We start from the raw sequence: 13593 nt of genomic DNA on the forward strand, positions 1-13593 counted from the left end.
CAGAGAGTAAATATATCAGGCTTTGGAGGCCATATGGTCTGTCTCAGCTACTCAACTCTAGTGTGAAAGCAGCCCTAGACAATATATAAATCAATTGGTGTGGTTGTATCCCAGTAAAACTTTATTTACAAAAACAGAAGAGGTGCTGATGTGGCCTGTAGGCTGTACTTTGTGGACCCCTAATGTATAGTCTTGTGGAACATGGTAAGGGATTTGGATTTTAAAATACAATTGGAAATCCTGGAGGATTTTAAAGCAAGGGAGTGACATGAAGTCATTTACAGTGTAAAAGGTTCACTTTAGTTGTCATGTGAACGGTGGATCCACAGTAAATTTGAAACAGCCAGCTATTCCCATGTCCTTTCACATAGTTTGTGACAGTCACATTTCTATCATTTACTACACATGCTTTGCACTTCTGCGTCTCTGAGCCTTTGCTCATACTGTTCCCTCTGCCTGGAATGCTCTTTCACTGTCAGTAAATGACACAGCTAAGTGCCACCTCCTTTTCCCTCTGTTCTTTTCCCTCGGAACCACTCTTATGTTGGTGCAACATTGGGCCTCTTCATTGTAGCACTTATTTTATTCAGTCTTGTGATAATATTGTTATAAGAGCTGCCACTTAGTGTTAATGTTTCAGATACTCTTTTAAAAGCTTTTCATACATTTTCTCATTAAATCCTTGCAGCAACTCTGTGTGGTGGATATTAGCCCCATTTTCCAGGTGATAAAGTGATGATTTATAAGACTGCCTCACTTGACTGAGTTCACACAGCTAGAAAGCAGCCAAGTCCAGATTTGAACCCAGAGCTCCCTGATAGAAGCCCTTAGGGATTATGCCCTAGTTGTGTTGGTTTCCCCCACTAGTCTGTGAGTTCCTTGAGGGCAGGGGCCATGTTTAATTCATTTCTATGCCCTGTGCCTAGTACAGTGCCTGGCAAATAATAAGTGCTCTATAAATGTTTATTACATTGACTTAGCTTCTAATAATGTACCATCTATTACAAGTGTGCTATCTTCAAGACCACTAGATGTCACTGGAGATGCATAAATGTGGTTAGAGTTTAATGTGACTGAGAAGATGTTAAAACAGCTCCTGGCCATTTTAACAAAGGAAAAATGAGCCATTCTTTGAATTATGAATCTGGTCATAGCAATCTGTTTTCAGGTCCTTGACCATGGTTCCCTTGCTTTCCAGATGCAGCCTTGCATCATTTTCTCCCTTCAGTGTTATTTGTGTTCTGGGATGCTACTGCTACAGCTTCTAGTACTGCTATTTTTTCTGTGTTGTCTGTAGTAGTTAATTTAATCAATAAACATTTGAGCACCTATTGTGTGTCAGGTACTGTGCTAGACTCTGGGGATACAGAGATGAATTGAGACATGGCCTTTACCCTCAAGGAACTCACAGTCTTTTTGGGGAGACTGACAGGTAAATAACTATACTCTACTGTGCTAAGTATCATAATAAAGGACTGTAGAAAGTGCTGCAGATGCACAGAGGAGAAAATGATTCTGCTTGAAGGGGTCGTAGAATGGTTACTTTGGAACTTGAAAATCGCTTAAAAAATGAGGGAAAGCACATTGCAGCTGGAGAGAACAGCATGAGCAAAGGCATGGGAGGCACAGGAGAGGATGGATTTGGGGAGATGAGCAGGCAGGTATAGCTAGAATGGGGCATGTAGAAGAGAATGATGGGAAATGAGGATGGAAAAGTAGGTTGGAGTGGGGTGGGGATGCTAGTTTGTAGAGAGTCTTGAATGCCCCACAAAAGACTTCAGACTTGACCCTCTGGGTTGTAAGCCACTCTCAGAGTCCTTTGTCAAGGGAGTAACACAGCGAGCTCTATGCTGGCGACAGCTGACTCTCGGGGAGAGCCTGGCAGCTGGAAAAGCTTCCACGACAGAGCCCGTGAGCCTCAGGATGAGGGCTGCCCTTGAGCAGTTGGGATGGAAAGGAGAGAAGACTTGAGAGACCGTTTAGAGGAGGAATGAACAGAGTTTGTGAGTGCCCGTGTTTAGGGAATAGAGAGGAGCCAGAGAACTTTGTAGTGAAGCTTTTCCCTGGGATACAGAAAGCAGGAATTTTAAACAGATAAAACAAGAGTTGTGAAGAAGCAAGGCTAATGTCTATCCATTAGCCTATGAAAAACCTGTAATTGGGCCCTCTCTTCAGTCATCGTAACAGAATGTTGCCATGAGAGCTGCGAAGTGAATTGCACTGTGCCATCCTTGTTTTTGGAGCTAGCCAGTAATTCTTATTTAGCAACTGGGGCAGTGCTGCTCTCCCTGATTCCGCTTCGAGTGGACCTATATTCAGAGAAAAAAAATGCTGTTTTTTTCTGAAACTGGTAAGTAAGATTGCAGGAAGAGAATCATGGGTACACCCTGCTTGCCTTAGAATCCAAGCTGTTGCTAAGGAAAGTGGCAGGAGCCAAAAATCTGCATCAACAGCTATAGAGAAGCAAGAAAACATTAACCATTCCATAGCTTCTGTGTTGAGAAAAGTAGTTGCCTGACAATGTATATGTGTGAATAGACCATTTTTTGGCTTCAAAATCTCATTTGCTCTTTGTCTTTCTCCTTTAGGGTTGGTGTTGATTCAGACCAAGAACACTTGGTAAATATGCGTTTTTGTTGTTCCTGGCATTTCTGTCAAATGTGCAGTCATTTGGAAAGAAAACAATCTACTATAAACTTCAACCTTCTATTTAGATCCTGTCCTCTTTGCCTCAGCTTTGGAGGAATGATATCATTCCTGGCTTTTCTCACTGCTCCATAGAGACAAAACCAAGTTTGCCACAGTGCCATAGTGTGTGGTTATCAAGGGTGACAGCTTTCATGTCTCTGGGCCATCCTGCCTGGGCTTTTGTCCCAGAGGAGAGCAGTCTTTTAAGCACTCCTGGGTTTTCGAGTGACTCCTCTGGCACGGGGAGGCTTTTTCCACTTTGGTTTGCGCATGAAGGCTTGTCTCTGATGTAAGCCCCACTCCAGCTGCTCTTCCTGTGTAACTTTCAAATCGAATGACCAGCAGCTGCCCTAGAGAACTGCCTAGAAGCTTTTGAATCTTCAACCAGTCTTCCCTGCCTGCTCAGGGAAACGCACTTTCTTACCTTGCCCCTCAGCCTTGGCCACGTTTCCTTGCTTCCTTCCTTCTGTTGTGTCAGTTTCTCAGTTGTTGCTATGAACTTGAGCCCGTTGGACTGAATGCATTGTAACTCACTGCCCTCTCTAGACTGACTACCCTTGTCTGGTATTTTCCATCTGTTTTTCAATTGCTTCTGAGCACCATTGAATATGTGTCTCCATATCAGACGTTAGATGAGAAATCACAGAAATTAGATTTTTGAACATGGAAAGCATCTCTTTCAAAACACAATTTTTTTCTTGTCAGAAACAAACCACAGTCAGTATATTTGTCTTCAGGGTGAGGTTAAAAAAAACATTTCTCAGATTCATTTCCTAAATGCTAATTTTGTTAGCTGTTGAGTGATGAGTGTGAATGTATGTATGAGATATAGTAAGTACTTGACTCTTGTGGTCAGAGCCTTAAAGTAGAATTCCATGGGCTTGACATACTTGTAAAAACCAAGCTGGATAAATTCCCATGATGCCGGGCTCCTGGTGTAGTGTCCAAGGGGTGATAATTCCTCAGTGCCTCCTCCCTGTGTGAAAACAAGAATAAAGTTAATCATGCAGTTCAAAAGACAAATGCTCGATCACTGTGTAAGTCTCCACCAGCTGTGTCACCTGTGTAACCACAGAGGAGAAATGGAAAAGGAGTGACAGGGAGAGAGCCAGGTAGGTGAGTGCCAGTCGTGACATACAGAACAAAGGACCGTTTTTTTTCCCATACCTTCAAAACCCTATGGCTGGGCCGGGCATGGTGGCTCACGCCTGTAATCCCAGCATATTGGGAGGCCAAAGCGGGTGGATCACACGAGGTCAGGAATTCGAGACCAGCCTGGCCAACATGGTGAAACCCTGTCTCTGCTAAAAATACAGAAATTAGCTGGGCGTGGTGGTGGGTGCCTGTAGTCCCAGCTACTCAGGAAACTGAGGCAGGAGATCGTGCCACTGCACTCCAGCCTGGGCAACAGAGCGAGACTCTGTCTGGAAAAACAAAAACAAAATAAAAAAAAAACAACCCTGTGGCTGTCTTGGTTATATTGTTCCTTTAATATTTTGAATGTCCACGAGAAAGCACAGAGGAACCTTATACTAAGTATGGAGTGTGTGGGGGTGGGGTATACAGGTGTTCATGTGGTGAGGGGTGGTGAAATGTTGTTCTTCAAGAGGTGGAGGCACAGAAAGATACTTCTATGATGTGAAAGGAATTGCAGGTGTTCTTCAGCTTTCGTAAGCCCATACAGTGTTTCCAAACATTTTTGTGTTATATATAAGTTGATACATGACACGTGACACGTTGAAGCAGAGAGAAATTTATTTTGAGCATTAGGAAGGACAGGAAGAAGCCAAAACCCAGAATCTAAACTCTGTGCTTGCTTGCTTATTTATTTATTTATTTATTTACTTACTTACTGAGATGAAGTTTCACTCTGTCGGTCATGCTAGAGTGCAGTGGCACGATCTCAGGTCACTGCAACCTCCACCTCCCAGATTCAAGCAATTCTCTTGCCTCACCCTTCCAGGTAGCTGAGACTATAGGTGCCTGCCACCACGCCCAGCTCATTTTTTTGTGTGTTTTTAGTAGAGACGGGGTTTCCCCATATTGGTCAGGCTGGACTCGAACTCCTGACCTCAAGTGATATACCCGCCTTGGCTTCCCAAAGTGTTGGGATTACAGGCATGAGCCACTGTGTCTGGCCTAAATTCTGTGCTTTTAGAAAAGAAGATTATGGAAACATAGAACATGAGCACTGGAAAGGGCCTTCAGAATTCTCTAACCCTCATCATGTTTTTATACATGAAGAAATTCGGGCCCAGAGAGAGAAAGGGACTTGCTTAAACTACTTAATGTCAATAAGCTGGGACTGGAAGCAGATTGCCTAACTGCCCAACTGCTGACTGCACCATATTACAAATAAAGACACAGTTTATATTTTTGGAAACTTTTAGAAGACGCCTACTTGCTATGTTAGTTTCTCCTCCTAGCTGGTCAGGCTTACCATGGAATTTCCCTACTTGTTTTTATTTTGCTAGTGTTTCAAGAACATAGTAGCAACTTTGAAGTTGCTAGTTATTTTCGAGATCCATGACGACTCCCAAATATAGGGATGTTGATGTGATATTTTCTAAGGTGCTATTATTACATTGAGAGTTAAGTCTTTCAGGTTCAGTACATGAATTATACCACATTGATTTTTTTTCTTTTTTTTGAGATGGAGTCTCGCTCTGTCGCCGAGTCTGGAGTGCAGTGGCACGATCTCGGCTCACTGCAACCTCTACCTCCCGGGTTCAAGTGAACTTCCTGCCTCAGCCTCCTGAGTAGCTGGGATTACAGGCAGGCCCCACCACGCCTGGCTAATTTTTGTATTTTTAGTAGAAACGGGGTTTCACCATGTTGGTCAGGCTGGTCTCGAACTCCTGATCTCGTGATCTGCCTGCCTCGGCCTCCCAAAGTGCTGGGATTACAGGCATGAGCCACCACACCCGGCCCCCACATTGATTTTTTAAGTGAGAGTAGATTCGTAAGTTAGCAAGCAGCCTGAGTAATAGAGGTGTTCAGAAAAACATTTCAATTTCCTATTCCAAAGCTGCAATATACAAACTATTAAATTTCTAATGTTACCCTTGTTGGAGAGTGTCTTATAATATAGTAGCCTCTATTTCTGATTCTCCAAAGGAATGGCTCTAAATAAATGTTCATATCTTTGTATAGATATTGATTTCTGTATTATCTATCTGCAGGGTGTTCCTGAAAATGAAAGGAGAACTACCAAAGCAGAGAGTGCTTGGCTTTTCCGGATGTGGTACAACTTTGATCATAAGTATCCTTAATTGAGGGAAAAAAAAAAAGGATAATGTGGACATAGATAATTACAGTTTAATGGAACAAGTGTTTTGACTATTCTCTTCCTGGAGCAGAATATAAAACCTACCTTTCATCTTCCCTTTCCCCATCAGTGCTGTGGAAAAGGAAACCCACACAGACAGATTCCTCTTCAAACCCATGAAACCGTAGGGACTGGTCATTTCAGAAGCTGGCTGTGTAAAGGGAACCAAAGCCCAAATGACATACTTTCTTTGATATATAGGTTTATTTATTGAGCAAACTTTAATATTTGTTGTCCTTTAGCTAATTTAGTGAATCCCACAGAAGGTATTTCTTGGTTCTTGTCTGCGTACTTGGCAGGGTAAGAGAGGAAAGGCTTGGGAAAAAGCATGAGAATGAAATCAAAATGCGATAATGTTCAATACTGCGCTGTTCAGCAATACACTTTTTTTTCCCCTGACCTTTCCAAAGACTAGGAGATTCTCTCTGTTCAGCATGCCACAGATAGCTAATGTTTTTGTTTGCCAGATTTCCTTCTTGCCCTGTTGTAAGTCTGTTTCATAGCTGTACTTTGAGTAGTGTTGATATTCTATAACCTCTTTAAATCAGGGATCCCCAACTCCCGGGCCGCGGACCAGTACTGGTCCGTGGCCTGTTGGGAACCGGGCCACACAGCAGGAGGTGAGCAATGGGCCAGTGAACATTACCACCTGAGCTCCGCCTCCTGTCAGATGAGCAGCATTAGATTCTCACAGGAGCCCGAACCCTGTTGTGAACTGCACTTGCGAGGGATCTAGGTTACATACTCCTTATGAGAATCTAATGTCTGATGATGTGAGGTGGAACAGTTTTATCCCAAAACTGTTTTGTTCCCAGCCCAGTCCATGGAAAAATTGTCTTCCACAAAACCGGTCCCTGGTGCCAAAAGAGTTGGGGACCACTGCTTTAAATCATGCCTTTTAAACATTTTATCATTATTAAAATTAATTTCTTATTTGAAAATTCACCTAGCAAAAACAGCCATGGAGTTCTTTCAGGCTCTGATTTATCAGTAAATGATTCAAAACTTGGTTTATGTTCTATTGAAGCAAATTGGAGACAACCGTGTAAGAAATTTGTCCTTGCTTTCAACTTTCTGATGAAAGCCTTGTATATTTAAGAAAAATCACTTGACACTTAATGATTAGAAGCTACTACTTACCATGTTCTGTTTGGTAATTTTTGCATTCACTGCTTGCAAGTACTTCAAAATTAAATTATTGTATGGAAACAAGAATGCAAGCATATCTGGGGTATTAAGACTCCCATTAGAGAAAGAGAGCCTGGCTCTTAAAATTTTTTAAAGATTATGTCATTACTTTTGGCTCCATTGTCAGGGTTTTGGATATAAGCCACTCTCATATCTCTTGGGGCTTTTTCATCCCTCTAATTTAGCAATAATTTTTTAGTGAGTTTTCTGCATAAAATGTTTTGTACATTTTCTACATAATATATAAAACAGTTCAATGATCCTAATGTTGAGAAAGCGTAGAATAATAGCTTATTCTTCTGTATATTTTATGGAAGTAAACACCAAGGCTTGTTTGACTCAGTACTGCCCTATTAAGTCCTACTCAATGAAGACCTGATCATTTTAATACCTAGTGCCCTGATATAATTAAATATTCATTATTTTAGATTTCAGTTCATTTGTGTAGGCAAATGATTTGTTATAATTGAGCTATAACTTGAATACAATAAAGTACACGAATCTTAAGTGTACAGCTTAATGAATTTCAACCTGTGTCAACAACTGTGTGCCTCCCACCCATACAAAGATACAAATGAACATTCTCTATCCCCCTCCACAAAGGGGTAACCATGATTCTGACTTTCATCAACATGGGTTAGTTTTACCTGATTTTGATCTTTATATATATGGATTCATATATTAGGTATTCGTTTCTGTCTTGCTTCTTTCACTCGACATCTGTGTAATTTATCCCTATTGTTTCATGTAACAGCAATTCATTCTTTTTTTATTGCTGTAGTAGGGTAGAGCTCTGTAGTAGGAATATACTACAGGATTTTTGTTTGTAACCAGTCTACTGTTAATAAATATTTGGGTTGGTTCTAGCTTTTGGCTATTACAAAAACCTGCATGAATATATATCTTTTGGTGGACATAGCACTCATTTCTCTTGGGTATATACCAAGGAGTGCAAAGAGTGGAATTTAGGACAAGTATATGTTTAACGTGTTTTTTGTTTGTTTGTTTGTTTGTTTGTTTGTTTGCAGTAGTGTCTGGCTCTGTCACCCAGGCTGGAATGCAGTGGCACAATCTTGGCTCACTGCAACCTCTGCCTCCCAGGCTCAAGTGATCCTCTAAACACAGCCTCCTGGGTAGCTGGGACTCCTGGTGCATGTCATCACACCCAGCTATTTTTTTTTTTTTTTTTCTCAATGTAGAGACATGGTTTCACCATGTTTCCCAGGCTGGCCTTGAACTCTGGGACTCAAGTGATCCACCCACCTCAGCCTCCCAAAGTGCTGGAATTATAGGAGTGAGCCACTTGCCCAGCCTGTTTAGCTTTAAAACAGACATTGCCAACCAACCAGTTTTCCAGAGTGATTGCAACCAGTTTAATTGGTTTTAACCAACTTGGTGAATTTATGATTATTTCCATCAGCAAATTAAGGGAGTTCTATTTTTCAGTCTTTTAAATTTTAGCCATTTTGATGGGTGTGTAGTGATATCTCATATGGTTTAATTTGCATTTCTCTGATGACCAGAGAGGCTGAGCACCTTTTCTTGTTTTTTGACCATTTAGATATCCTCTTTTGTGAAGTCTAAGTCTTTCGTCCATTGTTTAACTGAGTTGTTTTTTTCTCTCATTGATTTATAGTTCTCTCTATATTCCTGAATTGGGTTTTTTGTTGTTGATTATTGTATTTTTTCTCAGTCTGTAGCTTGCCTTTTCATTTTCTTAATCCTGTATTTAAGGAGTAGAAGTTCTTCAATTTAATGAAGTCTATTACATTTTGTTTATTTTTAAGATAAGTTCCCACTCTCTCACCCAGGCTGGAGTGCAGTGGTGCAATCATAGTTCACTGTAGCCCCAACCTCCTGGGCTCAGGTGATCCTCCTGCCTCAGCCTCCTGAATAGCTAGGACTACAGGTGCATGGCACCACATCCAGCTAGTTTTTAAAAGTTTTTTATACAGACAGGTTCTCACTTTGTTGCCCAGGCTAGAAGTCCATTTTATTCACCTTTTATGGTTAGTGTTTTCTGTGTCTTAAGAAATCTTCCATATCCCAAGGTCGTGAAGATATTTTCCTGTTTTTTTCTAGAAGTATGATTGCTTTAACTATCACATTTAAGTCTTTGATCCATCACAAATTCATTTTTGTGCATGGTGAGAGATAGTGGGTGAAGATCTACTTTTTTCCATATGCATATCCAGTTGATGCAGCACCATTTATTGAAAAATATCATCCTTACCCCACTGAATTGCAGTACAATCTTTGTTGTAAATCACTTGGCTGTATAAGTGGGGATAAGTTTCTGGACTCTCTTTTTTAATCCTGTTTCTCTATTTTTATATCAATACCACACCCTTTTTATTACTGTACTTTATAATAAGTCTTGCTATCCAGTAGAGTAATTAAAATCTGGCTTTGTTCTTCTCCAGTATAGCCTTGGCTATTTTGGGTGCTTTGCGTTTTCCTTTAAATTTTAGAAACAGCTTGTCAATTTACACACATGTGCATGTGCACACACACGCACACACACAACTGCTGGCAAGTTTATTGGGTTTGTATTGAATCCATAAATGAATTTGGAGAGAAATGATATCATAACAATATTGAGACTTCCATATCATAAACACAGCATATTGCTCCACTCATTTAGGTCTTTTAAAATTTCTCTCATTAACGATTTGTACTTTTCAGTACACAGCTCTTGTACATTTTCATTAGATTTATTCCTAAGTATTTGATGTTTTTGATCCTATTGCAAATGGTATTTACTCTGTTTTATACTTGTTTGATGTAAATATATAGATAGAAAATTGGATATTTATTTATTTATTTATTTATTTATTTATTGAGACAGAGTCTCACTCTGTTGCCCAGGCAGGAGTGCAGTGGCACAATCTCGGCTCACTGCAACCTCTGCCTCCCGGATTCAAGTGATTCTTCTGCCTCAGCCTCCCAAGTAGCTGGGACTACAGGCGCCCGCCACCAGGCCCAGCTAATTTTTTGTATTTTTGGTAGAGATGGTGTTTCACCGTGTTTGCCAGGATGGTCTCGATCTCCTGACCTTGTGATCTGCCCGCCTCAGCCTCCCAAAGTGCTGGGATTACAGGCGTGAGCCACTGTGCCCAGCCTAAAATTTGATTTTATATATGGACCTTGGGTCCAGCAATCTTGCTAAGTTCACTTATGATTTCTAATAGATACTTTTTGGTCTTCTATATACATAATTAAATGATCTATGACTAATTATTTTTTTTTCTTTTCCAATCCCTGTATTTCTTTTTTGTGTCTTTTTACATCAGCTTTTTTAGGGGACTTCTTCAGTGCAATGGTGAATATAAGTGATGATACAGGACATTCTTACCTTATTCCTGACCTCAGAGGGAAATTTTTCAATATTTCACCATTAAGTACGATGTTAGCTATACGTTTTTGGATATATCCTTTAGCAGGTTAAGAGCATTCTCTTTTATTTCTAGTCTGCTGAGAGTTTTTATCATGAGTTTTTGTCTGCTGAGAATTTTTAGTATCAGATGCTTTTTCTGCATCGAGATGATCATGTGTTTATATTTTTCTTCTTTAATCTGTTATTTTGATTTTCATTGATTGATTGTTTGAATGTTAAACTAGTCTTGCATTGCTGGAACAAATTCCACTTGGTCATGATGTGTTATCCTTTGTGTATATCTCTGGATTTAATTTGCTAATATTTTGCATCTGATTTTTGTGTCTATTTTTATGAACAATATTGGCTTGTGATTTTTTCTTATAGTGTCCTTGTCAGGTTTCTATAACAAGATTAAGCTGGCCTCATAAAATGAATCAGGAAGTATTCCCTCATTTTCTGTTCTCTGAAGGAGTGATAAGATTAGTGTTATTATTATTTTTTTTTAATGTTAGGAAAGTTTTACCAGTGAAGCCATTTGAGCCTGGAGCTTTCTGTAGGAGAAAGTTTTTAATTTCATTAATAAATACAGGACTATCTAGGTTTTTTTTTCTTTTTTTTTTTCTTTTTTTAAAACCATTTGTCATCATCTGGCGAGTTTTTTTTTCTAAGGAATTTTTTCTTGTAGAGTCAAACATCAAGACTTGTTAGCCTCAGTACTACCCATTCAGTACCAGAAGATGAAGACCTGGTCATTTCTTTACTCAAAATGCTAGAATTCATCATTCCAGTTTTTTAGTAGCTTTGTGTTTGGCCAGATGTTTTATAAAGCGTGTTTATATGCAGTGTTTTAATCTTTACTTAGAATTTATTAATATGAGGATTCATGAAATTTTCTCTGACTTTCTCATTTTTAACTGAGAACCACCTTAGGGTCTCATTTTAGAAAATGAGGAGGGAGGGCATGGAGGCTCATGCCTGTAAACCCAACACTTTGGGAGGCTGAGGTGGGAGGATTGCTTGAGGCAGGCTCAGTTCAAGACCAGCCCTAGCAACATAGCGAGACCCTGTCTTTGCAAAAATCAAATAAAAAAAAATTAGTTGGGCATTGTGGCACGTACCTGCTATGATCACCCACTGCACTCTAGCCTGGGTGACAGAGCGACACTGTCTCAAAAAAAAAAAAAATAAATGAATAAATAAATAAAGTGGGGAATTTGTGTGTCTGTATCCTTTTCTCCTTTTTCTTGTGATTCCCTCTTTTTTCTTCTGAGTGTCATATATTCTCATGTCTATTTTTATTTTTTGGCAAATAAATGAATACTGAAATGAGGGCCTATGATAAAGGGCCTCATGATACATAGTTTTTTAAAATGTCTTGAGATTTGACTTGCCTTTCCTTCTTATAGCTTCCTAAGTAAACAGTCAGTCTGATACTGAAGTTTCAACTTATACCATGCAAGAGGCCAGCTGAATTCACAATAAATGATGAAAACCATTTTATTACTATGTTCTACTGGAAAATTTAATTTCCTCTCTGGCCATTAACATTGTTTACTTTCTCCCTTATCTCCTGTAGTGCCCAATTTACAGTGATGTTCCTTTTGGTTTTAGTAAAATCAGAAAAGCAATGTGATGTAGTGGAAAGGGCACAAGATTTGAAATTCAGACCAATTTGGGCTAGCAGATTGGTCCCCATTTACCTCATTGTGTAGCTTTAAGCAGGTCATTGACCTCTCTGAGCCTCAGTTTCCATATCTGTGAAGTGGAGATGATAAAATACCCCTTTGCTGTTTCACTGCCATCATGTGAGGAGGAAATGAGACCATAGATGTGAAAGCCCTTTGCTGTCCTCCGAAGTGGTTACTATACTATGATGGTGATTATTATCAAACGAGTTGCTCTTTTAAATTTGTAAAGAAAGGACCACAGCTCTTCCTTAACCACCGCAGCTATCTGAAGCCTCTGCTGACCCACAGCGGGCCTCCGCTGACAACAACACTCCCTGCCTGCTGTGGACCCATCGCCAGGTGCCTCACCAGCCCCCAGGCTTACGAAGTAAGTTGGTTTTATCCAAAACTAAATTCTTCAGTAAGTTAAATTTATCTGCTCTGTGGATGAGTCACTGGTTTTATTTTATTTTGGTTTGTTTTTTTGCCTTTGAGGTATAAATTCCATGAAAGGGAATTTAAGCATATTTTGCTCAACCAGAAAATACACTGAAACCTATAAATATAATTCACAGCCTTTGAAACAGCATTTGAAAACAGATATAGAATCGTGCCTCATCTTACTGTGGGTGATTTTAGTAAATAGTTCTATTTCCCTGCTGGCTTTCATTTCTTTGCAGTATGTGTCCTGAGCTCAGCACTAAATGTGTATGCTTTCCTCCACAAATGAGGGTTGTCTCAGTTACATTTTGAGGATTTTAAAACAATTTTGACATCCCTAAAGTGCAACAGATGGTCTATTATTTCACACCTCCCAACCTTTGGATGTTTGGGAAAGCTATCTGCCTCTGTTCCACATTTCTGGGACACATGAGCATATCTAGATAGAATCTGAATTCCATATTTTTTCCTTAGCTACCAAAATGTGATTGGTAATTTGATAAATATTGCTACTAAGAAAAAAATAACAGAAATCCTAGCTGACCTTTGTTTTTAAATGTGCACGTTTTTATTTTTCAAGTTCTTTTTTAAAAACCTTCCATTCTGGCCAGGCGTGGTGGCTCATGCCTGTAATCCCAGCACTTTGGGAGGCCGAGGCGGCAGATCACCTGAGGTCAGGAGTTCAAGACCAGACTGGTCAACATGGCGAAACCCAGTCTCTACCAAAATTACAAAAATTAGCTGGGCACAGTGGCGTGCACCTGTAATCCCAACTACTCGGGAGGCTGAGGCAGGAGAATTGCTTGAATTGGGGAGGTGGAGGTTGTGAGCAGAGATCATGCCACTGCACTCCAGCCTGGGTGACAGAGTGAGACTCTGTATCAAAAGAAAAAAAAAAGAAA

General features: G+C 40.0%; 1 protein-coding gene across 11 annotated transcripts in view; it reads left to right on the forward strand.

Moving 5' to 3' along the window:
* SLC9A6 (solute carrier family 9 member A6) overlaps positions 1-13593 on the forward strand; it is a 73433-nt gene that overhangs the window by 53707 nt on the left and 6133 nt on the right. For 9 of the 11 annotated variants that reach the window (NM_001400909.1, NM_001400910.1, NM_001400911.1 and 6 more), the window contains 3 exons: positions 2589-2619; positions 5871-5950; positions 12533-12638. In NM_001400909.1, the coding sequence (NP_001387838.1) occupies positions 2589-2619; positions 5871-5950; positions 12533-12638 (217 nt within the window). Of the gene's footprint in view, positions 1-1342; positions 1433-2588; positions 2620-5870; positions 5951-12532; positions 12639-13593 lie in introns of all 11 variants that reach the window. The other 2 variants (NM_001438742.1, NM_001379110.1) reach the window with 1 other exon arrangement.

The sequence above is a fragment of the Homo sapiens genome, chromosome X, assembly GCF_000001405.40.
Source record: "Homo sapiens chromosome X, GRCh38.p14 Primary Assembly".
NCBI lineage: Eukaryota > Metazoa > Chordata > Mammalia > Primates > Hominidae > Homo > Homo sapiens.